This window comes from Homo sapiens, chromosome 5 (genome assembly GCF_000001405.40).
Source record: "Homo sapiens chromosome 5, GRCh38.p14 Primary Assembly".
NCBI classification, from domain to species: Eukaryota; Metazoa; Chordata; class Mammalia; order Primates; family Hominidae; genus Homo; species Homo sapiens.
In genome coordinates this window covers 98,142,777-98,169,789 of record NC_000005.10, presented here as the reverse complement: position 1 = coordinate 98,169,789, position 27,013 = coordinate 98,142,777, and the positions used below count along the sequence as shown (strand labels likewise).

Sequence of the window (27,013 nt, the reverse complement as noted above, 5' to 3'; positions counted from 1 at the left end):
GAATGGGACTTTATGGGCCAGTTTTTCAGAATGTTGATTTCAATGGAATCAAAATAGCATCTATGCTACCTCATCTACACACCACAGAAAAATGTTTCACTTCTTCAACTCCATGTTGCTAAACTACAGAATTCTGTGAAGAGTAACTTGTGATCTCAGACATGACTTTATGAAATCCTGCATCTTATTTCTCAAACAGTACGAATATATGATCTTTATTGCAAAAAATGTCTTACTTCATTCTGCTCAGCATATTCTGGTAAGTAATCTTGTCTTCTTTCCCCTAATTTACTGAGTCCAAAGATTCAAATGAAACCTACTAATCAATCTCTGCTTTTGAGACAAACTCAACAAAAGAGAAAATAAAGTTACTGGAAATGATTTGCTTTTAGTAAATTGGTATGTGCTCCTAGTGAAAAGTGAGTGGGTTTTTTACTAAATTTTTAGATCATCAGTTGGAGAATCTATCATAGTATTTTTTGGGGGAAGGTCACTGTCAAATATCCATCGTTTACATCATTTAGAAAGTCTTACCTTATTGGTCTTTCTTTTGTCTTCTGACATTATTCTCATCTCCTTGACATTTTTAAAGATTGATTTAGTTTTAATGAGCTCCTTCTGTAAATTTTTCACACAACTCAGGATATAACTCATCCAGATATAGAAGCTTCCTTTGCCGGATCAATCACCTTACTCAACCTCATTTTCCCAACTGCATCGATGTTGTCTGTACACAAGACTCATGACTCATGATCTACCTCTTCTATATGGAGTAACTCACAGTTATGTTGGTTTTAAAATTCTATCAGTGTGTACCTGATCCTTCAAACAACAATTTGCTATCAGAAATAAGCTAGCAATTTGTTGTTACAGACATTTTAAGAGGTGATTGATGAAAACTCACTGAGTATATTAAGGGTCATTTTATTACCCTCATTATTCATTAAGACAACTTGAAGTGGAAGCTGTAAGTTCTAGCATTAAAACTTTAAATTTCCTTTTGGGTTTTCTGCAATGTTTTCCTTTTTGCAGGATTAATTTGGCTACTAGTACCATTTGTATAGTTTTTACATTTCATGTGTTATTTTAATAATCTCACTCTATTGCCGTATACAGTTAAAATATAACTTTTAGAAATGAAAGAAAAATAATCTTCCTCTTATTACTACCCAAGTATAAACATTAGGAGGTGAGAATGAAAATTTATTAAATGTTTATTCTCTGGAGTCTTATGAATAGCTATAAAGCCATTACAGCCACAAAACAAGGAACAGAATGATCATTTCCTAACACGTTGGGATAAATTACCAGTTGGCTTTTAATCAATGAATTTGGACAAGAGATGCAGACAATTGTGTGACTTAACTCGTATGGTTTTTACAGTCCTTTTGAGTTGCCATGAATAAAATAACAGCTTTTGGGCATAAGGTACAAAAAGTGAATCAAAGCTTTTAGGGTTTACATGCTGTATTATCCATGTAACGTGTAGAACTTATGTGAAAAATTCAAAAGAAGAGAAAAAGTTTTAAATTATGTATCTATATATTTAAATTATTTATATATTTAAATTATTTATCTATATATTTATTCACCTACTCTGTTATTTAAAAAGTAATGATCTCACTGGGTTTAATGACCCCAAGTTTAGAAAGTTGCTAATTTCTCTTTGTCTTTGAATTAGTGCTCAGCATCTTGTCTTACCATTCAAAATTTCCAAGAAGCTTGCTAAATGCCCACTGTATCTAGCATAAATAATATTCGTAAATAAGATGGACTCATAGAAAAATATTTTCATATTATATCAAATGCCTTTATAGTAATTTCACAAGTGTAAGTACTAAATATTCAGTTTCAAATTAATATAATATAAAATTAAATAATTATTCTGGTTACATTAATTTGTGATAATTTTAAAATTAAAGAATTTATCTTCATCTTTCATTCTTTAACACTGTATTTTCAAATTCTCTATTTTTTTCTGATGTAAACTTTTTCAGAAATATTGCTATTTTATCTACATATGAATTTTTCAGCATATAGTCATTTATTATATTCCTTCATCATTCTATTTAATTTCTATATTATCTGAGTAGTTAAAATGTTTAATTTGTTTCATGAAAAATAACAAATTAAAAAACCTAATACTCAACTTTTTTAAAAAAAGTTTTCATTTTGCAATGGGGGAATTAATAAAAGGAAAGGAGACAGGTTGTGTCCATTGGAAGAAAATACAGGGAATTTGTACAGTATGGAAAATGTACGTAGAAAACATTCACCGTCCTTTCCCCTGAGATTAGAAAGTGCTGGAGTGAAGAAAGAAAGGGAAAAAAATCCCTGAGGGGATATTTCTGTGGTTCTTAAAAAGTGTAATGACCAGATTGTATTGAAAAGAAGCAGCTGAATTGTCTAAGGGAAAGCAAAAGACATTGTTTCTGTTGTGAAAATTTCAAGGTTCAGTAACTCTCTAGTGTAAAATATGGCAGACATGTTTCCATTCTTAGAAAAGTATGGATAGCTAAAAGTGAATTCTAAAAATTTGGTAGAACAAGGTATTGCATAGAGTAAGCATAGATAAATGTTAAAATATATTATTTTCTCTTTCAAAAATTATGGGATGAATGATTCTCACTTCCTAATATATTTTGTTTCCAAATTAGTAACTTAACTGTATGCTGGAGTTAATTTTTAGGTGAGGATTTGATAGGTGCAGCAAACCACCATGACACATGTTTACCTGTGTAACAAACCTGTACATCCTGCACATATACTGCAAAACTTACATAAATAAATAGAAAAAATAAGTACCCCCCAAAATAATGTATGAAAAATAAATAATAAATATTAAAGAGGCAGATATTCTCAAGTGCTAATGTAAACATGTTAGGTTTAAGGCACCATGCTAGATATTGCAGTTGGGAATTCAAAAGAAATAATAGACATGGTCCTTCTACTCTAGGATCTTTGAACTCATGGGAATACTATAGGAACAATTCTGGGAATTTAGATTCAATACTTTTTCCTTAATCTTCTAGACTGTAGACTCTATCCTGCAGCCAGAAGTTGTATGTACAATGGGTAAGGGGTGCAGATGAGATACATTATTGAACAAATTTCAGTAAGTGTTGGATGGACAAAACAATGTGTTAGGAGATTGATTTGGAGACTGACACAGTAAGATTAAATTCTTAAAACACTGAATGTATAAAATCAAATTTGGAGGTTTTGAATTGTTTATTATATAACACTGTAAGGGTGAGGAGTACAAATCTGAGCTTGTTTACAATTGTCTACCAAATAGGCCTTAAGGCAGAGATTTTTAGTTTACTTATCTTAGGGACTCTAGACAGCTGATTCTTCTCTTGAGTAAAGAACAGTTCCCCTACAAGAGCCTGTGGGAGTGAGAAGATGTGAATGGCCTGTGCTGTGGGTTAGATGTGCACATCCCTGCAAACGAATGAGTGAGTTGTTTCTTAAGCCAGAGCCCATGGTGAATCCAGAGAAACTTGCTTGGCTTTGGTGTTTCTGAGAATTTAAATGCGTAGGAATGACCTGGCTTCATTATGGTCCTACCAACAGTGCATTCAGCAAAGCTCAGTCGTCTCCATAGTGTCAGGTGATGGTTCAGTTCTGCTAGCCTGTGTGTATCTCAAGGCAGAGCCTGATCTATCTTTCTACTGACTTTCACCCTCAGAGGTGGTACAGGAGGATCCATGGCTCCTGAAGTTCATTTTTAACTTCGTTTCCCTCTAACACCACTGAATAAGCTATAAGGCATTGTATTGTATACTTGCGTGACTACCTCAAGGGGAAAATTTGGCTTAGAAAGAGCTAATGTGTATTTTCATGTGGCCTCCATGTTAACTAAGATAACAAAAAACATAATCCTTCAACAACCATCCACTTGCCTCCCTCCATCCTCTTGGATGCGTATGTGGAGTTGACAGAGCAGGTGGTGATGTCCCCCAAGCCCTCACCAACACTTTCTCAGGGTTACACTGTTACAGCCATTGCTTTTGGTGCAATTAGTGAGGCCCAATAATTCTTCCACTAAGCCCAGAGCTACTATTTTAAAGATAAAAATATTTTTACTTAAGTTTTTTAAATTGCATGTGTGGGGACACATGTACCTATACATATACACACTATTTTATAGTATTACTTAATGAAAGGTTTTATACTGTACTATTTAAAAATACATTTTAGCGTTAATCCATTTGGGGACAATGTTAATAAATTAAAGTGACAAGTTTAATTTTTCTTGGGTACATATTTTCACTTTATAGAAATAATTTATCTTTATTCACTTTTGGCTAAGGTTTATTTTTTTTCTTGAATAACATCTCACTCTAACACAGATCTCCTATATAGTTATATAGTGGATAAGAACACACACTATGAAATCACACAGATCTTTGCTCAAATGTCAGCATTCCCATTTGACTCTTTAGACAGTTATTTAATCTTTCTATAAAATGGGAATAATAATAATAATACCATTCTGGGAATTGTTTGAGTTAATAATGCATGTACTACAATTTGCACTGTGCCTGGCACATAATAAGCAGACAATTGATCCTATCTGAACTTCACTTAGTATATAGTCCCTGATATATATTAGCAATGTAATAAACAGCAAGAAGAAAGGAAGGTGGGGGAAGGAAGGGAAAAGGAAAGGGGAAGGGAAAAGGGAAAGGAAGCAGAAGCAGAAGGGGAAGGGAAGGGATTCTCTTGAATGAGACAGAAGCCTAGATGTATTACAAAGTATTGTAATGATCTGCTTACATATCTTTCTCTCCCACAAAACTGTAAGCATCATGCAGGCCAAAAGGATTGTGTTGTTTTCATGTCCGTAGAATCCAGAACTACTAACGCATTATTTTACAAGTGGTAGATACACACACATTTTTAAGTGAACTAAACCAAATAAGAATATGTATTTATAGGATAAGATTTGTTTAATGTCTGTCACCATATTAAATTGTAAGCTTCATGAAAGCAAGGAAAGGACTTGTATTTTTTTTCACCGCTATATCATTATCAGTTAGAATACTTGGTGCAGTAAATGGCTATATTGGACTTCAGGGAAGAAATTTCCAAAGGTATCTACATCCCTGGATAGTCTGATCTATAAGTAGCACCTCCTACATGAACATGAGAGAAATAATCCTGGAAGGCATTACCATGAATTAGGTAATCAATTTTTCGGTAACATTGCAGATGTTCATTGCTTTACCTTGTATGTACAACATTCCTGAAAACTTTTGAACATAATATCTACTTAAAAATTATAGCACTAAAGATAATTTTACTATCATTATGTTAGGCATTTAAAATATCTTTGAGAATTTGTTTAATATTTTCAATCACAATGTGTTGTTGTGATTGAAACAAATAGCCTTTGTTCCTAGGACTTAGAACAGATAGCCTTGTTCCACCTCTAAGCAGCTAGAGAGCAATCTAAGGTCAGTTCACGTAAGAATTGGGGTTGATCATGCAGGATGTTGCCTGGCCACATAACTCCCAGAATGGCCTGTGAGGTTACCCAAACAAGCACTTTTCACCCGCAGTGAGAAATTACAAGATGTAGCCATCCCATGTTGGGAGAGATTCTTGCCATTCTGCTGTCATCTTGATTTTTTCTTTTTGGGTGTGTAACAAAGAAAATGGATCCCATGGGGCAGCTCTCACACTTGTTACCCTCCATTTCCTCAGTCTAACTGAGTGTAAGTAATGGAACTGTGTTTTAATGGCCCACTCTCCCAAACGCCCTCCTAACCCTTCAGCAGAGCTGCTTTGTAGCTGACAAATATGACAGGCAAGGCTAACGAACCCTTAGGCCAGCAATATTCTCATCTTTAATCCATCACAGACATCAAAAAATAATGAGATTTCTTGAAACCATGCCAACAGTGAGCTCATATGACACTGAGATGATGAATTTACTCAACCACTTACAAAGAAGTAGCCAGCACACCAAAAGACCCAGGTAATTTCACAAGGCAGAGTGGCACTGCCTGGAAACATTAATGTTTGCCACATTTTCTAGGTGGTGTCTCATCCCAGAATCTAGTCCATTTGAATTTTTATCCCTGATTCTAAGTTGTGCCTGTTATTTCTTAGTGTGTTGCATGGAAATTTAATTCTGCCATCCTTCTCCCGGGAAAGCTGATAAGGGATACTCAAGCTTATGTGCATCATGCTATTGCTGCTGTAAAACTGTGATAAAATGAGACATTTTAAAAAGAGAGTTATTTTTTTTTAAAATGGAGAATTTGTGTTTGTTTATTTGCTTGTATTTTAAGATTTAAGTTGAAATGGTATAATCCGGGGGACCTGAATATGATTTTGTAGTTTTGGGTATTTTATTTGTATTACATTGATAAACTATAGGTGTATATATATAATGCTTAAATATACTTATGGGGTAAAAAGTATGTTATGATTTTGGAATACAATGTAGAATGCATAAATCATGCTAATTAACATCTATCACCTCAAGTATTACTATTATTTTGTGACAGCATTTGAAATTTACTCTCTTAGCAATACTGAAATCTATAGTAGTCAATTATAAGCTATGTTTACCATGCTGTGCAATGGATCTCCAAAAAAAACAAACAAACAAACAAACAAAATAAATCAAACTTATTCCTCCTATCTAAGAGGCTTGTACTCTTCAGTTACCATCTCCCTGTTCTCCACCCTGCCCCAGCCCCTGCAATCAGCTTTCTACTCTCTGCTTCTATGAGTTAAATAGTTTTAGATTTCACATATAAGTGAGAACACATGATATTTTGCTTTCTGTGTTTGGCTATTTCATTTAGCCTAATGTTCTCTAGTTTCATCCACATTGTCACAATTGACAGAATTTCTTTCCTTTTTAAGGCTGAATAATATTCCATAGTGTATGTATACCACATTTTCTTTATCCTTTCATACCTTGATGGACACTTCTTGGCTATAGTGAATAGTGCTACAGTGAATACAGAAATGCAGACATGTCTTTGACATTCTGATTTCAAATCTTTGGGTAAATACCCAGTAGTGGGATTGCTAGGTCATATGATAATTCTATTTTTAGTTTTTTAAGGAATCTCCAAACTGTTTTTCATAATGGTTGTGCTGATTTACATCCTCACCAACAGTGTATAAGGGTTCTCTTGTCTCTACATCCTTGCCAACACTTGTTATCATTTGTCTTCTGATAATAGACATTCTAACAGTTGTGAAGTCATTTTAATTTGCATCTTCTTATGATTAGTAATGTTGAGCACTTTCTCATATATCTAATAGCCATTCGTATGTCTTTTTTGAGAAATGTCTATTCAGGTCCTTTGTTCATTTCTTAATCACAGTATTTGTTTTTCTTCTATGGAATTGTTTGGGTTCCTTCTATATTTTGGAGATAGATCTCTTATCAGATATATGACTTGCAAATATTTCTCCCAAACTGTAAGTTCATTGTTTCTTTTATTGTGCAGACACTTTTAAATTTTGATGTAACTCCATTTGTGTACTTTTGCTTTTGTTGCCTATGCTTTTAGGGTCAAATCTAAAAAAATCATTGCCCAAATCAATGTAATGGAGTTTTTCTCCTATGTTTTCCTCTAGCAGTTTCATAGTTTCAAGTCTTATGTTTAAAGTCTTTAATACACTTTGAGGTGATTTTTGTCCATATGATTTTTGTCCTTTATTCTGCTGATGTGGTGTATCATATTTATCAATTTGTGAATGTTGAATCATCCTTGTATCTTAGGGACGAATCTCTCTGGATTATGGTGAATGATCCTTTTAATGTGTTGCTGAATTCAGTTTGCTAGTATTTAGTTGTGGAGTTTTGCATCACGTTCATTAATGACATTGGCCTGTAGTTTTCTTTTCATGTGATGTCCTTGTCTGGCTTTGGTATCAGAAAAATATCGGCCTTGTAAACAGAGTTTAGAAGTGTTCCCTTCTCTTTAATTTCTTGAAAAGTTTGTAGAGAATTGGTATTAACTCTGTTACTGACAAAGCTGGTTCCCCAAAAGATGGGGTCCTTCTCTGTTCAGTATCACAAAGCCAATATCTAAAACTGAAATTGTCAAGCAGTGCAGGCTTTATTCAATGGCCATGGGATTGAGAAGTAAAAGCATGGCTCACAAATCAACTTCTCAACTAGTGAGGGGTGAAAGGGTTAAAATATAGGATTTCTCTAATGAAAGGGTTCGCCTTAAAAGTGAGAAGAGGAATATTCATGTCTTTTCTGGTAATGGGAGGGAAATGTCCCAGAACCTGAGAGCTGCCTTTCCTTTTGTCCTTTCATGGCTTCTTTTGGTCATTGTCATGGTGATTGTCAGTGGTCATGGTGCCATTTAGCATGGAAATGTGATCATAATGGAGCCTGAGGTCTTTTTGAAGTGTTTTGATTGGCTGTCTTGGTTCTTACCAGTCTCAGCTCATAAAGGTTACAAAGGGAATTTTTTATTACAGGTGTCCTGTTTCTTAAAGATAAGCAGAGTTAAAGCTGGGTAGAAATTCAGCTATGTCATATTACCATTAAACTGTGTAACAAATTCCTCCTTTTCTCTACATTTACTCCTCATTCTTGAGGGGTATGAAGGGATGAAGGTCCATCTTCTATAACTTCTTTAAGCTGAATCCAGGTGTTGATATGGGACCCATTAGAGCAGTGAAATCTTTCCTAGCTAGTCTTGGGTAGGTCTAGTTATCTCCTGGGTATAAGCCTAGCTGTTCATATTGCTATATGGCCTCAACTTGCTTAGACACAAAAGAAACAAGGCAGTTTAAGAAACGGGGCCCAAAGATCAAGAGAAGTAGGATATCAGCTAAAGTGCCCAGGAAGGGTAAGAACCATGTGAGATTAGAGATGGCCTGTTTTATAATTTTTCCATATTCCCTGAGGGCCCATGCCCTTTTGGTTAAATTGGTGCAACCACTTGGTCTGGTTGTAGATGACTTTAATGTATTTTTTAATTTATCTAAAATTATTTACCCAAGCACAACAGGAAGTGTTGGTGACTACACACACCCTACCTTGTTCTGCCAAGAGGTCATCAAGAGCCGGATGGTTATAACGCACGATATTGGCTAGTAAGTCTGGGGAGACTGTGAGGCAGATAACGCCATCGCTGGTCTTATAGGCTGAAGTTTCTATAACTGTTTCAAAGTTGTGGAGGGTAACTTTATTGTAGGCAAACCTTCCCTAAGGGGCAAGGAGACTGCCCACTATCCTGATGCCAGCCAGAATAAGCCTAATCGCCGTTTTATTCCTTGAGCAAGAAGGGAATGGAAAACAATTAAATATTTTGACTTGTCTGGGCGTTAGGTTCTCTAACTGCACTCTCCTTGATGTCATGTGTTTTCCAAACAGGGGTAGACTCTGGATGAAACAAGGTGACTCCAAGAGCAAAGCTTAGAATACCTGAATACCTGCAAGCAAGACAAGTAGATTAAGTCCTGACAGAAAAGTATACGCGGGCCCAAGGTAACCTATCTGTTTGAGGTTTCTTGTCCATCCTTTTGAAAAGGAACCTTAGGTCTGAGAGTGCTTCAGCTCGGTAAGTGGCACTTTCTTCCTTAGGTTCTGTGGCTGCCTTTATCTGGGTGTGGTGGACCCAAGGCGTCACTCCCTGTAACTCTAAGGCAGAGTTAGTTGTGAGAATTACCAGATAAGGTCTTGTCTATTTAGGTTCTAAATAATCTTGTGGTCTTCCCACTTTTAGGTTTTTAACAAAACCCAGTCCTGGGTTGTAAAAGATGAAGGGCCAAATGAGATGATGAAGGTAATCCTTGAATTCTGTATTCCTGAAAGGCCTTTATTATTTTTCTAACCTTGGTAGCATATTTTATTTTTTTCATGTTTCTGAGGACCTCCTGGTTACCTTACCAGACCTGGACCAGTTGGCCATACATTAGCTCATAAGGGCTCAGTTTGATTTTTCCTTTTGGAGTTTTTCTTATTTTTAACAAGGCTGTGGGGAGTAATGAAATCCATGGGAGATGGGTTTTCTGGCTTACTTTGGCTAAAGTCCTTTTAAGGGTCTGGTTGGTGTGCTCTATTTTGCCTGAGACTGTGGTCTCCAGGTGGTATGTAGAGATCATTTTATTTCTAAGCTCCAAGAAGCAGCCTTAGTAATGAAAGCTATAAATGCTGGTTTATTATCACTGTGGATTGACCAAGGCAGCTTGAATCTGGGGACGTTTGCCACCTCATGTGCAATTTCAGTGTGGGTGGCAAAGGCTTCTACCCATCCTGAAAAGGTGTCTGTAAGAACCAGGAGGTATATACGTTTTTAAAGCCCCTGGGCATAACTGTGAAACCGATTTACCAATCTTTCCCTGGGTGTCTACCTTGGTATTAGACCAGCTGAGTAGGCTCCCTTCCCTTCTCCCCACCCACTGCATAAGGTGGATATTAGGGTTATTAACATAGCAGATGGGGCTAGTCTCAACCACCTCTTTGATTAGCTCCCTGAGGGTTGGGACAGTTATACTTTTGCAAAGCCAGTGAAAGGGCCTCTTGATCAGTGAGTGTTAGAATGGTTTTTGTTTTAACGGTCTGCAAGGCAACTGCTTTTGGGAAAAGAAATTGTCCATGAGGGCTTATTAGCCATCTTGACTGATCAGTACTTTTGGTATAACCCCATTTGGAGGCTTTTTTCCATTCCTTTTGAGAGTAAGACAGGATCAAAAGAGCGGGACCCAGGAAAGAAGGTGAAGGTGGCATTTAGAAAGTGACCTTCCCTAAAGTCACCTGTTTTGACACTAGGTTGGCTTTATTCTTTTCTTTGGTTACCTTAACATCCCACTTCTGGTGGCTGCAGTAATGAACTACTGCCACCTGGGCTAGTTTTCTTACAGTCTCTAATAACCTTAAAATGATGGTGCCATTTTTGACCTGTTTATTGTCAGAGGATAACATGCCCCTTTTCCTCTAACTAGTGCCGTGTGTGTGTAAGATGGAATATTAGTACCTGGAATCAGCGTATACTTAAGTGCATTCCCTTCACTCAATTTTTATGCCCTGGTTAGAGCAATAAGCTCTGCCTTCTGTCCCCCAAAAGATGGGGCCTTTCTCTGTTCAGTATCACAAAGCCAATACAATGAAACTGAAAGTGAGGGTCAAGCAGTGCGGGCTTGACGGTGCAGGCTAAGAGCATCCTGGTAGAAGAGTGCCTGCTTCTACGGTATCAGTGAGAGAGACCATAGCACAGCCGGCCCTCCCCTGTTCCTTTTGCATATAGCCTCTCCCATTGGGGAACCACTGGGATTCTGCATTCTCAATAGATTCACATTTAAGGTCCGGCCTACTGGAGTAAACTTACTCCATCACCTCTGAGCAGTTGTGAGATAAGTGACCATCTTCAGGTGGAAGGAGTGTGGCTGTGTTCAAGCTATTAGATACCTTCAGAGTTATGTGATGGTTGTCTGTAACTGGAGAGTATTGCCTGGGGACAGCCATTCTGCCCTGCTTTCATTCATGAAGGTCTGGGTATGGTGGGGAGTCCAGATAGTTAGGGGTTGGCCAAAGGTTAACTTTTCTGCTTCTTTTAAAAGGAGGGCAGTGACTGACACTGACCCAAGGCAAGGGAGTCCAGTGTTTAGCAAGTAATTCCAGTTGCTTGGAAAAGTAGATCGTTTATCCAGGTCAGTGGGCCCAACCTTCAAGTTAGTATTACTAGAGCAATTCCTTCCTCTTATGAAACATAAAGATGAAAAGGTTTGTTTAGGTTGGTTAGGGCTAATGGTGGTGGCCTCGTGAGTTGGGTTTTAAGTTTTCAGAATGCTGGTCAAATTGTGCCATCCATTCAGAAGAATCAGGTGCTCCAGGTCCCTAGCTAAGGCTTCTCTAAATATTGTGGGGGAGTTTTTGGATGCCTGGGTCCACACAGTGATATAGGAGTGGGGCAGGGCAGTGCTGGGTAGAGACAGGCAGGTCCCTGGCAAGGGCTTCACCCCCATGAAACTAGGTGAGGACAGGCACTCCTGCTTTCATGCCCAAATGTTGCATTTTTCAAGACCATCCTGACCCACCAGGCCCCTATCCTAGGCCTATAAAAACCCAAGATCTTAGTGGGCAGACACACAGGCAGCCAGATATCAAGAGGAACACATCAGCAGAAGAAGACACAAGTGGCTGGACGTGAGAGGATGGGGAGGGAGCATGCCATCAGAAGAGCATACCGACAGATGCAGGCAGGCACGCTAGCACATCACAGGCCATCCACTAGTGGGATGAGGCAGAGTTTAGCTAGGGCAGTCAGAGAAAGTCTGCCCAACTCCAGGGGAAAACCATCTCCCCTCTGACTCCCCCATCTGCTGAGAGCTACTTCTACTCAATAAAACCTTGCACTCCTTCTCCAAGCCCACGTGTGATCTGATTTTTCTGGTACACCAAGGCAAGAAACCCTGGGATACAGAAATCGTTCTGTCCTTGTGATAAGGAAGGGGGTCTAATTGAGCTGGTTATCACAAGTCACCTATAGAGGGAAACTAAAAGAGGTCCCTGTAACACACACCCACTGGGGCTTCAGCTGTAAACGTTCACCCCTAGACACTGCCGTGGGGTTGTTGCCCCACAGCCTGCCTGTGTGTATGCTCCCCTAGAGGTTCCAGCAGTGGGGCACTGGAGAAGCAAGCCACACCCGCATCACATTCCCTGCTAGGGGGACAAGGGAACCTTTCCCATTTCAACTGGGGCCTCGCCCAGTATCCTGGAAGGTGAGTGTGAAGGAATGTGAAAATGTTGGGTCTGCCTCTCTTCCAAAACCGTGCCACCTGTCTTTCTTTCCTGCAGGTAAGAGGCTCTGTTTCCCTTCACTGAGTTTTAAATATAAAATAATTAGCAAATCTGGACAAAAATATATCCTAACAATATTGAAGACATGTTTAAAATTTTTATTTTATTAATTTGAAAACCATTTTTATCAAAGATTACTAAATTCTTGTGAACTTGAAGAGCATTTGGACTTACCTAATTCATGAGTACTTATTTAGTTATAAGCCACTTTGGTGGTATGCTAGACTTCCCACATAAGATAATACATCTGTACATACACAAAGATCCAAGAGCTTTTACCTCAGAATTTTAGCCATGAGATACAATACAGACTCACCATTTTATAAGTGATAAAATAGTGGATTTAATTTTTTTTAATTGGAAAATTTGGGTAAAGCAGTATTTATGGCAGTTTTTTTTTTTGTAATCCTCCTTTACAGTTTTTTTTTTCAGTTTCAAATGGGTTTTCAATGTCTCCATTTCAGTTAGACCAGAAATAATAAGTCTTATCTCAGCACCAGCAACTGAATAACAGGGGATTCACAGCAGGCAAAGAAAAGAGAGGAAGATAGCTTTAGAAAACTACTTAACTCAATAAGTGCAGGCTAGCCATTTGAACTCTAAATATTTCTTACCGTGCACAAAGCTACTATTTATCATTGCATGCAGGCATCCCTGATATCTCCTTGAAGGCCAGCTAGGCATCCTTGGCACTTCTCCTTTTAGGAGAGTAGCCAAGGCCACCTTGTCCTTGTGGCTTTGTCAAAGAGTAGGAGGAGGTGTTTTCCAAGAAGGATGAAACCCAAGCTTCTCCAGTGCAAGAAAAATGGTATGTTGGAGGTTTTTACGGATGTAAGAGAACAAACACTAAGAGGAGTAAACAGAGAGAAACAGAGAAGGACACACACACACACACACAAACACAAACACACACACACACACACAATTTACCTATAGGCTATTTCCTAATCCTGCAGTCTGGACTGTCAGCCCTTCAGTTCTTCTCTCATCTTTTCAAGAACCTTTTTCAGGCCCTCTATTTGGGGCATAGCCACCCTTCAGTTCCTTTCTCACCTTTGCTGAGACACTTAAGGGAGTCTTGGGACGTAAGGACCCATTTACTGAGGTTGGGACAGTAATGTGGTGCCAGGAGTCCCCATGCAGAACCATAATCCTGGGAAAATGTCCCATCGTACATTGCTCAGCGGGTCCTTCCCAGTACAGTTTTATAACCCTTTGCCTGCCTGCTTACTCCATCACAACAATAATATATTACATTCCTCAAAGCTGATCCCTGGCACCGAGAGACAGGATAAACGTACATTCTTTGATGTAGGTGTTTATTGGTATGAACATTTTTTTAGAACTGTTTTTGCTGCATCCCATAAGTTATGATATGCTGTGTTTCCATTTTGTTTGTCTCACGATATTTTAAACTTCCCTTTTAATTGGTTGTTCTGGGACATACTGTTTAACTTCTGGGTATTTGCAAATTTACCAAAATTTCTGTTGTTATTGATTGTGACTGGAAAAGATTATTGATATAATTTGATCTTTTCAAATTTGCTAACATTAATATTGTTACCTAACATCAATCTATCCTGGAGAATGTTTTGTATGTTCTTGAGAAGAATGTGTATTCTGTCGGATGGAATATTCTGTATAGGTCAGAATTCTTTGTCAGCTGATGCTGTTGGGTGCCAGTTGCTGGGTCTCCAGGGAGATAAGGGGCTTCCCATATAGGGAGGTGGACCATTTAGTCCAGGGCCCCACACTGGTTAACCAGTTCTGTTACTGACAAAGCTGGTCCCCTATAAGATGGAGTCTTTCCCTGTTCAGTGTCATGAAACCAAATGTGGGAAACTGAAAGTGATTTTCAAGCAGTACAGACTTATTTAATGGTCATGGAATTGAGAAGTGGGAGCATGGCTCATGAGTCAACTTCTTGACTAGCAAATGGTGAGTGGGTTAAAATATGGGGTATCTCTAATGCATGGGGTGGACATTAAAAGTGAGGGAAAGGATATTCATGTCTTTTTTTGTAAATGGGTGGTGAACTTTTTGGAAATGGAGTGCTTCCTCCCTTTTTCTTCCTTTTATGGCTTCTTTTGGTCATTGTCACAGCAATTGTCAACTGTCATGGCACTGAAGGTAGTGTCATTTAGTGTAGAAATAGATTATAATAAAGCCTGAGGTCTTTTTGAAGTCATTTAATTGGCTATCTTGGTTCTAAACAATCTCAAAACAAAGAGGTCTGGTTCTAACCAGTCTGATTACAACGAGAATTTTAATCATAGGCGTCTTGTTTCTTAAAGATAAGCAGAGTTAGGGCAGGGTAGAAATTCAGCTATGTCACATAGCCATTATCCCAGGTAACAGTTCTTTAAATGCTTGGTAGAGTCTAACGATCACACTATCAGGTCCTGGAATTTTCTTTGATGGAAGACTTTTTTTTTTTTTTTTTTTTTTTTTCCAGTCAGAGTCTTGCTCTGTTGCCCAGGCTGGAGGGTAGTGCAGCAATCTCAGCTCACTGCAACCTCTGCCTCCCAGGCTCAAGCAATTCTCATGCCTCAGCCTCCTGAGTAGCTGAGGTTACAGACATGTGCCACCAAGCCTGGCTAATTTTTTTGTATTTTTAGTAGAGACAGGGTTTTACCATGTTGGCCAGGCTGGTTTGGAACTCTTGGCCTCAAGTTGATCTGCTTGCCTTGGCCTCCCAGAGTTCTGGGATTACAGGCATGAGCCACTGCACCCAGCTGAAGACTTTTTATTACTGATTCAATCTCTTTACTCATTATTCCAAAGCATCTTTATTTTTAATGCCTCTTTTACAGTTTTTCTTTTACATTTTTTGGTCTGTTCAGATTTTCTGTTTTTTTTTTTTTTTTTTTTTTTTTTTTTTTTTTTTTGTGATTCAGTCTTGGTAGGTTGTATGTGTCTAGGAATTTATTCATTTCTTCTAGGTTATCCAATTTTTTTTGGCATATAATTGCTTATAACAGTCTCATATTTTTATTTGATGTGAGTTGTAATATCTCCTTTCTAATATCTTGTTTTATTTATTTGAGCCTTTTTTTGTTTTTTCTAGATAAAGATTTGTCAATTTTATCTTTTTGAAGAAAACTCTTCATTTTGTTAATCTTTTGTATTGTTTTCCTAGTCTCTATTTCATTTATTTCTGCTCTGATCTTTATTATTTGTTTTCTTCTGCTAACGTTGGGCTTAGCGTATTCTTCTTTGTCTATTTTCTTAAGACAAAATGTTATTTATTTGTTAATTTTTTTTAAGAGATGGAATCTCACTTTGTCACTCAGGCTGAAGTGCAGTGGCATGATCATAGCTCATGCAGTCTAGACTCCTGGGCTCAAGTGATTCTCCCCCTCAGCCTCCTGAGTAACAGGAATTACAGGTGTGATCTTCCTTTTTGATGTCGGTGTTTATTGGTATAAACTTCTTTTTAGAACTGTTTTTGCTGCATCCCATAAGTTTTGGTATTTTGTGTTTCCATTTTGTCTTGTGATATTTTAAATTTCCCTTTTAACTGGTTGTTCTAGGGGCATATTGTCCTGGAATTATGGCCAACATTCTACAGGGCAACAGGTCATTGATTCTGATCCTGCCAGCCTCCACCCATCTTATTGGTGGGCATCATCCCAGGGTGAACCTGTGAAAGATATTGCTTAGTACTGCTTGGAGGTAAGGTATCTTCAACAAGCAACCTGGAGAAAGGAGGGTTATGGCCCAATTATATGGCTTCTGTGCAAGGCATGAAACCAGGAAGAGGCACATACATTTCTCCAGAAATTGCTCTTGTGGTGGGGGGAGGCAGAAGTGGTGGTGCTCTCTATGATGGACCCAAATCCAGAGAACCATCTGCAGTTTTAGCATCGATTCATAAAGTGTCTAAAGCTGTAGGTGGTCATAGCATAGCACTGAAGATCCTTAAACCCAAAAGTCTGGACACATCCTCATTAACTGGGATACAATGCAGCAACTATGAATGAATATACAATGGGTAGGCAGTATCTGCAATAGTAATAGATCTGAGAATTGAGATCAGTGGAGAGGACCTGTGAACTAGGTCCTCAGAGAATTATTGTCTTTGTATGTAATTTTTCTGTTTGCTTTCAGCTCATTTCTCTGTTCTTCCTCTGCTTTGCTCTGAATTACAGGGAGCTGATTGACCCCACAAATTCAAAAATCACCTTTCTTAGCTTCTTTGTCCATTGGCTTCTGACTAAGCTTCATCAGTGGGAAGCACTAGTGGGAAACTGGAAGGTGGAAGGAAGAGAGAAGCCAGAGTATTCCCCTTACCTTTTTGGTTTCAGACAGTCTTTAGCAGTGGCTGTGTCTCCTTCTCCATAGTCCCAGCTCCCCTAAATTGACTCTGATTTCTCACTGCATGGCCCTGGTTTATCAGTTTGTATAACATCTTCTCCCTGTGTCTTCGCCTTTGCCATCTTAGTAATGCTAGTCACTTCCTGATGTTGCTAATTTGTTCCTTCTTTGTTTTATCATCCTCCTGGAAGCTTTATAACTAGTTTGCCATATAAAATTTGATTTTCTTAATGTAATCACTTGTTATGAGTTTCCTGACACAATTGACTGTCCAAGAGTCTTAGGCAAGAGGGAATACAGAATGTGGGATATGGGGTGGGGTATCTGTTAGCATAGGCTTGCTCCAGCAGGCAGGCTGGGCTGGAATCAAAGGAAAATTGAGCCATAGATTCTAGGGGCAAAACTAGAATCAGGCCTCATAAGCAGCCAATTAGTCTTAGTATGCAAGGGGTTAGGCAGAAAGAAGGAAACTAGTGTAACCAAGTAATATGAGTGAGGTCATAGAGAAGGAAGCACTATTTCAATATTGAAAAAGAAAAATGAATGCAAATGTTTACTAAATATGCTCAAAGTGGTACAATAAAGAGGTTATGTTGCCTAATGCACAGCAAAATTTCTCTTCACTCTTCTCTCTACTCAGTTTCACTCACCATGACTGTTCTTTTACTACACATGTTTAATCTAATTACCTATCTATCTAATCTCTTTCTGGTCCAAACTCTTTCCTTTGCTTTTTCCTTCTCTTGTATCTTTCCTAACACCTCTTCTCTTCCAGAAGGAGCCTTTTCTCATGTAAATCAATCAGAGGGGATGTATGCTTATTATAATTTATTATATTTTTGTGTCTCTCTCACAAAAGATAATAAAAACCAGAATGAAATTTTGAGATATTAGATCAGAATAAACTGGACTGAAAGAAAAGTGGAAAGATGAGCCCAGAGATATTACTCTTATTAGGACTAAAAATTACCTTTTATGTAATGATTTTGCCTTGTCCCTGCAAAAGGAAATCTCTGCTACTGGGACTCAACTGGTTCAAATAGTTGGGATCTAATGCTGCATGTGGAAATCAGCTGTTTTGAATTCAGAGCATGTTCATGCATAGGGATAAATTATGTACTAGGTGGGTTTTCAATGCCACAGAGACCACACTCAATGGATGTTTAATAAATGAATGCATAATATGTGAAGTACAACATGGTATCTGACCAAGAATTCTAGAGAAAAATAGGTACCAGATATAGATATGTTACTATAATAGAATTCATTCAGAATTCCAATTTGGAATAGAAGAAACAAATCCTTCAGGTTATGAACTTGAAATCGCCTTTTCTCATCTTTCCCCTTCTCTACATGCTGATCAAATTCTTTAAACTCCAAGGGGAGCAGATAAAAATAGGTATTTCTAGAAAGACACTTCCCAACCCAGGAACAAAATTTAGAAACTTAGATCTTCTTCTTCTTTTTTTTTTTTTTAATTTGACACGGAGTCTCGCTCTGTTGACAGGCTGGAGTGAGTGCAGCGGCATGATCTCCGCTCACTGCAACCTCCACCTCCTGGGTTCAAGTGATTCTCCTGCCTCAGCCTCCCAAGTAGCTGGGACTACAGGCATGTGCCACCATGCCCAGCTAATTTTTGTATTTTTAGTAGAAACGGGGTTTAGATCTTCTCTTGTTTTTTAATATGGCTCCAAGGAGTGGCTTATGAGCTTCAACTTATTGCTTCTGATTAAGATTTCATTTATCTTTTACTGTTCATCAGAACAGACAATCCTTGCATTCTTTCCTATCCTAGCCTATCTTTAAAATGAACTCAGCTCTTTGGAAGATAATAAGCAGCTTATTGGTAGCAACAAAAGGGGGAATATATCAGAAGTGAAAAATAGCAACAACCTTAGGTGTTCTCAAATATTTTTAAAGTATCAGTTATAAATAACATGAGAGCTACAGATACTAGTTAATGGTAAGAAACTGGACATTTTCCATCTAAGATCAAGATAAGATGAGGATGTCCCCTTTACCACACCTATTCAATACTATCATGGAAGTGGTAGCTAATGCAATAAAACAAGAAAAAGAAAGAAATATAATAGTCTTTGTTCACAAAGAGTGTGATAAAATCCCAATTAACAATGACAACAAAATATACTGGAATTAATAAGGATGCAGGATACTAGGATACTATGTTTTTCTACATACCAGCAATAAACATAACAATGCCATTTGCAATAACACCCAAAAATGGAATATTTGGGCATAAATCTAACAAAATATGTACATAATTTATATGCTAAAAGCTATTAATACGAAACTGTGGAAAATCAAAGAGCTCTAATTGAATGGAGTGATATTCCATGTTCATGGATTAGAAAACTCGGTGTTGTAAAGATGTTTCTTCTTCCCAATTTGCTCTATAGATTCAACATAAATCTCAAATCTATAGATTTCAACTAAATCTCAAAAAGCTATCTTTTCAATATTGACAAATTCATTCTAAAATTTATATAGAAAGGCCAAGAACCTAGAATATCCAATATAATATTGTAGAAGAAGAAAAAGTTGGAGAAATTCTATCCAATTCCAAAACTTACTATAATTTCAGTAAGTAAGAGGAAGGAGGAGGAGGAGGAAGAGGAGGAGTAGGAGGAGGGAAGGATAACAAGAAGGAGAAGAAAAGAAAAAGAAGAAGAAGAAGAAGAAGACCCAATACAAAATAGACAAAGGATAAAACATATGACCAGGCAACTCACCAAAGAAGATACAGAGATGACAAATTAGAATATAAAAAGATGACAACATCATACATCATTAGGGAATTATAAATTAAAACAAGGAAATACTGCTAAATACCTCTTAGAATTGCTAAAAAAAAAAAATCCTCACAAACCCAGTTCTGGTGAGAATGAGGAGGAGCAAAGAGCAACTGAAATCTTACTTATTTCCTCTTGAGAGTGCAAAATGCCACAGTCACTTTAGAAGAGTTTGGCAGTTTTTTTATAAAGCTAAAAATAGTCTTACCTTACCATTATACAGCATTGTGCCATAGGCATTATCCCAACTGACTTGAAAATTTAATGTCCATGCCAAAAACTGCATGTTAAGTTTATAGCAGCTTTAGTCATCATTAAAAAATAAGAATTAATGAAGATGGACTTTAATAAGCAAATGAGTAAACAAACCTTGGTACATTCATATAATAGAATATTAATCAGTGATAAAAAGAAATGAGCCATCAAGCTATGGAAAGATAGAACCTTAAATGCAGATTGCTAAGTGAAAAAGCTGTTCTGAAAAGGCTATATATTGTATAATTTTAATTGTATGATATTCTAAAAGGGACATACAGACAGTAGAATGATTAGTAATTGCCAGGGGTTTGGTTATAGGTGTAGAGAGTTGAATAGTTGAAGCACAGGGGATTGTTTTTAGGGTAGTGAAACTGTTCTGTATGACACTTAATGACACTTTATGCACACTTGAAAACCCATAAAACTTTACAGTATGAGGACAGAACCTTAATGTTTGAAAATTTAAAGAAAAATTAGGAGGTCAGTGAAGCTCAGGATGGAATGCACCATGACAAAATAATCTAACTGTGTCATAGGTGCATGAAACAACCTCATTGAAAGGGGTTGAGGAAAAAGGTGCTGACCTAAATAACTTTAAAATGAGTAGAGTTCGTAAGAATAAAAAGGCAAAAGAAACTGCACATAAGCATTGTATTTCAGTTGATAAAGTTTTTTCCCATGGAGGTATGAGTTAACAATCTTAATATTGTTTTACATATATTTGAACTAAGCAATTAAGTAAATGAATGGCAAATGGTAGGAGCCAGTCTTCTCATTGTTAAAGTAAGAATAACAAACAAGTAAGGGGAAAAGTCTATAATAATCCATATAGTAATGGATTAGAATTAGTGACATCAGTATGGACTCACATTTAACTTAATATAGATAAAAATAGTTACATCTAGAAATTTTTATAGATATGCATATGTACACTGGGTAATACAAACACTTACATTTTCTTGATCTTCCATTAGAGAGAGCCTAAAAAAAAATGGCTGGGCCTCTTGACTTAACACCTGTAATCCCACCAGTTTGGAAGGCCAAGGCAGGAGGATTGCTTGAGCCCAGGCATTTGAAACCAGCCTGGGTAACATAGAGAGACCCTGTAGCAACAAAAAATAAAGTAAATTAGCCAGGCATGGTGGCATGCACCTGTGGTCCCAGCTACTCAGGAGGCTGAGGTGGGAGGATCACTTGAGCCTGGGAGATTGAGGCTGCAGTGAGCTGTGATCCCATCACTGCACTTCAGCCTGGATTGCAGAGCAAGACCTGGTCTCAAAAAAGAAGAAAAAAAAATGATAGGCATTTGTCAAAGAACACAGGAACAAGTTGAAAGACCTCCCAATGGCCAAAGCTGTAACAATTTGTGCAACAAAAAGAGGTAGTATTGTATTATAACCTAAAATATAAAATAAATACCTGTTGACCCATATTGATATAAATAAATAATTGCATATCTCTTGTGCAGCAGAACTCCAAATAATTTATTTAGATACATTGCCTTCAAGGAGGTAGAACATAATTCCCCACTACTTAAAGAGTAGGATGTGCATAATGGCTTCATTCCAAAGAGTACTGTATGTAAAGAGAAAAAAAGAGTAACTTTATAGTGAAAAATTCAGACAAGCACAACTTCAGCCAGTGATAAAGGTCAATATCATCAGTGATAAGTCATTTTGATAGTATGTTCTTTTAATATGATGCCGGAAAGATGACAGTTTACCCTTTGATGTTTCCACCTAAGCTCACAACCTCAGTTTAATCAAGAGAAACACACCAGGCAAATTCCATAGAGATTTGTAGAGAGATGTTCTACCAAATACCTGTCTAGTACTCCTTAAAACTGCCAAGGTTATCAACAACCGAGAAAGTCTGTGTAAATGTCACAGCCAAGAGGAGCCTGAAGAGACAGGACAATTACATGTAATGTGGTATCCTGGGTGGGATTCTGGAACAACAACAACAAAACATATGTAAAACTAAAAAATGTTGAATAAATTGTGGAATTTACTTACTAAAAAGGCATCAATTGTAATAAAACTATCATACTAATGTAAAATATGAAAAACAGGAGAAACCTGGTGTGGCATCTGTAAGAGCTCTCTGTATTATCTTTGCAACTGTTCTAAAAATAAAGTTTATTTAAAAAATAATGTGGAACTTGGAACCAACCCAAATGCCCATCAATGATAGACTGGATAAAGAAAACGTGACACATATACACCATGGAATACTATGCAGCCACATAAAAGGATGAGTTTATGTCCTTCACAGGGACATGGACGAAGCTGGAAACCATCATTCTCAGCAAATTAACACAGGAACAGAAAACCAAACACCACATGTTCTCACTCATAAGTGGGAGTTGAGCAATGAGAACACATGGACACAGGGAGGGGAACATCACACGCCAGGGCCTGTTGGGGGGTGGGGGGTTAGGGGAGGGATAGCATTAGGAGAAATATCTAATGTAGATGACAGGTTGATGGGTGCAGGAAACCACCATGGCATGTATATACCTATGTAACAAACCTGTGCATTCTATACATGTATCCTAGTACTTAAAGTATAATAAATTAAAATAATGTGGAAGAATGAGAAGTGTTATAGAATAAATATGCTTAACCATAAGTTAATAATTATTGAAGCTGCATATAAATACACGGGTCCACTATAATATTCTGTTTACTCATATGCATATTTAACATTTTTATACTAAGATGTTAAAAAGTAAATCAGCAATTTAAAAACTCACCAGAAGAAAAGTTATTCATAATATTTATTCTATTTTCATTGAAAATAGATCCTACTTTCTTCCCATATTTATGAGAACCTCACTTAATCACTGGCAATTTGTTGGACCTGGAATAGAACTTTAACTGCAGTGATTATATAATTTATTGTCCAGAATGGGACACTTTGGAGACTGAAAGGAATGCTATTATATAATTACATTGGGACAACGATAGTCAGCTGGGAGTAATCTGGGTAAAATCAGGTTATCCTGTTTTTTATTCTTTTTTTTTTTTTGACCTAACATGTCCTCTATCTGTGTACTGCTTGCTTCCCCCATCTCCATCTAGGAAAAGGCAATGTTTACATAGATGACAACAGTGAATTTGGGGTTTCTAGAGCCCTGAACTAAGATTAAAGCTAGACTGCTGCCGACTGTTTTCTTTTATCACCAAGAAAGACTTGGAAGTTTAACATAGAAATTAAAGGTGACAGCCTCAGTATGTGGTGGTAAAAAAAGAAGAGAGAACTCGTTAAGACATGCTTCTCCCACCCTCAAACCCTAACACAAAGAAATTCTAGCAACAAATAAGCAGCCAGAATTCAGTGGAGGTTACGGGTCTGGGTCTGTACCAAGTGGGTGAAGGGAGAATGTGGACAAAGGGTAACCTAGTGTGGTGGTGTAATGGCAAAAAGGGCTTCACAGCCCTTTGGGATAGCAATTCCATGAAATGAAATCTAAGTTGGCTTGGTATGTGTTATCATTTTAACAGAAGTTTAACTTTGGAAATTGTTTCAATCTGAACTACTATTGATGTAAAAGCCACATTTCTATACATGTCTGTAAGCATCTTCAGAACAGTACTGCATCTTATGGAGCTTCATTTTTTTAACCACCTTTCACAATGCCCTCAACATTGTAAAGCTCATTGATGTTCATGGAGATGAATCGTTACATGTACATTTCAAAACCTAGAAAAACCCACTATGGAAGATTTTGTCACTGATTTGCAAAAAATGTACTGCACTAAAATGTACAGTTTGTAAGGTCTTAGTTGGCTCAGACCACCTGTATCTGCCTTGCGTGTACAGTGGAATCCTCAGTCTTACCCCATCTAAAATATTCTATTATGTTTCTCACTAATCCAGCAATATTCTTTTATTGATGAAGCTGTCAGAAGAGAGGAAAATCCCAGGGTGAAAAGATTAAGGAAAAGAGAAAATAAGAATGGAAAATGGATGACAGATGAGAAGAAATGGCTTGAAATACCTGTTGGAAATTTCTATCTGATGACACAAACAGTCCATTACCACGGCTTCATAAATTCACATCATAATCTATCTCTCTTCAGTTTTCCTCTTTCCCTGTTGCTTTATAATACATAAAATAATCTAGAGAGAACTACAGAAAATAAAAATTAAAATGCAAACTTATTCCCAACAAGCTTTCTTTTTCTTGTAGATGTTTGCATCACTTTTTAAAATATTTCCCATGGTTTTACTTCATTCATATTAGAACCTAAGCTCTTCAAGAAGACAGTAACTTTTTATTATTTTACTATCATAGACATCAATTAAATATCAGCACATAAGGCTACTGACATTTAATTATCTAAGATTTTTTTTTGAGAAAGTCTTTATTTACCAAGATTTTCAATGACCTTCTGTGTCAAACTCTGGGCTCTTCTTCATCATTGATACTTGCCTTTCTGAGATACTCAATATCATTAAACACCCTCTCCTTCAGGTAGCAGGCTGTTCCATTTTACCATTCTTCCTGCTTGTTCTTCACCTTTTATTTTTTGTCTTTAAAAGAAAAGATTATGTTCTTTCTCCTTTATAAAAATATGTTCCAGCCATACTGAATTACTTCCTGTGCTTTGTGCCCACTGTGCTACCTCATGCCTTCCTGCCTCTCCCTTTACTTCTCCTGACACCTGAAACACCTGCCAACCCCTCTTTGCCAAGTGAATGTTCCTCAATGACTCAGCTGAGATCTGCATTTTTGATGTATTTCCTAATCTTTCCAGGCTAAGACAAGTAAGTTGTTTTGTTCTGTACTCGTCCAATATGCTCTTTAGGTCACTTATTTCATTGTATCGAAAGGATTAATTTTCTTAACTATCTCATTAGATTGTGAGCAGTTTGAGGTCAGGAATTGTGTCTTATTAATCTGAAATGTGTCTAACACATAGAAGGCATAATAAACACATTATTAGTGCTAAGTCAATAAAGATGTGTGCATTATTGTCTAACCATAAAAAATCAGAATTCATTATTCTCTACTATAGAAATCTGTTCACCTTATGTGAGCATCATTTTATTCTCACTGTTATATTTAGGCTTTTGCTGAAACATGCTCCCAGCCCCAAGAAGTCATTCCTCTACCACTTCAGAAGTTGTGGCAGCTATTATATATTTTCAGCCTTGAAAATAGTAAGCCCTATATTTGGATTTGTTGGAAGGAATTAAAGACTGTGCCTTTGGACAAGATAAGCATTTCATTCATTACCCATCATTCCAGAGATACCCCCTGGGTGCTTTCACTTCTATCAGCCTGGTCAGGCTGACATCTGTTGCTTTGTCTCCCAAGACTTCTCTTGAAACTGTGTTAAATTGGATTGAAATATTTCAATTACTTTTCTATATGTAAATTCCGTCCACTATGATGAATTAATTATAACATGAAATCCATGAAATTGTACTATTTTGATCTGAGTTCCTTACTGATTATTATGTGTCCTAATTATCTTTAATATTATGTGTCCTAATTAAGGCTTTTTTCAGGAGGGTTTTGTAACATTGTTGGAACTGTAGGTGAGACCATCAGGGAGTCTAAACTCACGGAATTCATTCTTATCATTTAGTTATTTGCTTTTTCTGAGATCTTCAAGAGAATAAAACACTTGTCCTCTCCGGCTGTGTGCTATTCCAAGCAGGGATATAAAAGTTTTTATGGGTTGCATTGTGTCTTCTCAAAAATCATCATTGAAGTCCTAACCCTCAGTACTTTAGAATGTGACCTCATTTAATGATAAGGTCTTGACAGAGGTTAGCAAGTTAAAATGAGGTCACTCGGTGGGCCCTGATCCAATTTGACTGATGTCCTTGTAAAAAAGAGAAACTTGGAGAAAGATAGACACACAGGGAGATGGCCATGTGAAGATGAAGTCAGTGATCAATGTGATGCATCTATAAGCCAAGGAATGCCAAAGATTAGCAAAAAATCACCCTCTGGTGAAGTCAACTTCTGGGGGACAAGGCATAGAACAGATTTTTCCTCACAGCTCTTGGAAGGCGTTAACCCTTCTCTCACCTTAATCTTGGACTTCTAGCCTCCAGAACTGTGAAATAATAAATTTCTGTTGCTTAAGCCACTCAGTTTGTAGCACTTTGTTATGCAGCCTTAGGAAACTCTTCCAGACCGCTGCTTAAGTACTGTCCCCACAGACCTTTGTGCAATAAGCTATGGCCAGGTGTGCTCATGAAGACACTGGGTAGACATGCATGAGTTTCTAGTCACTACAGAGTAGATGCAGACAAAGAAGTATTGAAAATTGGAATGTAAAGAGGGTGGGGGAAACAGAGAGAGAGAAAGGGCATAAGTGCTGTCACAGTAGGGATTTCCACCAAGTGCCGGTGCAGGAAGAATGTCACGGCTCAAAACCCAAACATAAGGCCCCAGTGATGTCAGCGATTTTGTTTACGAGTAACAGGTCTGTTTATTCATTCAGTATTTATTTATTGAGTGCCTAAAATGTGTCAAGCACTGTTACAGACACTGGGTACTTAGCAATTTTAAAAAAGCATAGAAAAATTCCTGTCTTCAAGGAGTTTACATTCTGGGAAAGAAATAGATAATAACTGAAGACATAAGCAAAATGTGTTACATATCACATGGAGAAAGCTAAAGCAGGAAAGAGCAGGGAGGATAGTGTGTGCATCTGGAGTTGTTTCATTTTGGTCAGTGGTCATACAAGACTACAGATACAAGATGCTATTTTAAGAAAGACCTGATACACGCAAGGAAGGAAGACATGCAGAGTCCAAGGGAAAGTATACTAGGCAGAAACAACATCAAGGAAAGGGGCTCTGA

The 27,013-nt window shown here is 37.4% G+C and overlaps 1 long non-coding RNA gene across 1 annotated transcript in view; it reads left to right on the top strand.

Moving 5' to 3' along the window:
* Positions 1-8,550: 8,550 nt before the first annotated feature.
* Positions 8,551-27,013, top strand: part of LINC01846 (long intergenic non-protein coding RNA 1846) — a 75,374-nt gene continuing 56,911 nt past the window's right edge. The window contains exons 1-3 of the long non-coding RNA NR_146477.1: positions 8,551-8,843; positions 8,998-9,090; positions 9,371-9,484. This is a non-coding gene — a long non-coding RNA (long intergenic non-protein coding RNA 1846). The remainder of the gene's footprint in view (positions 8,844-8,997; positions 9,091-9,370; positions 9,485-27,013) is intronic.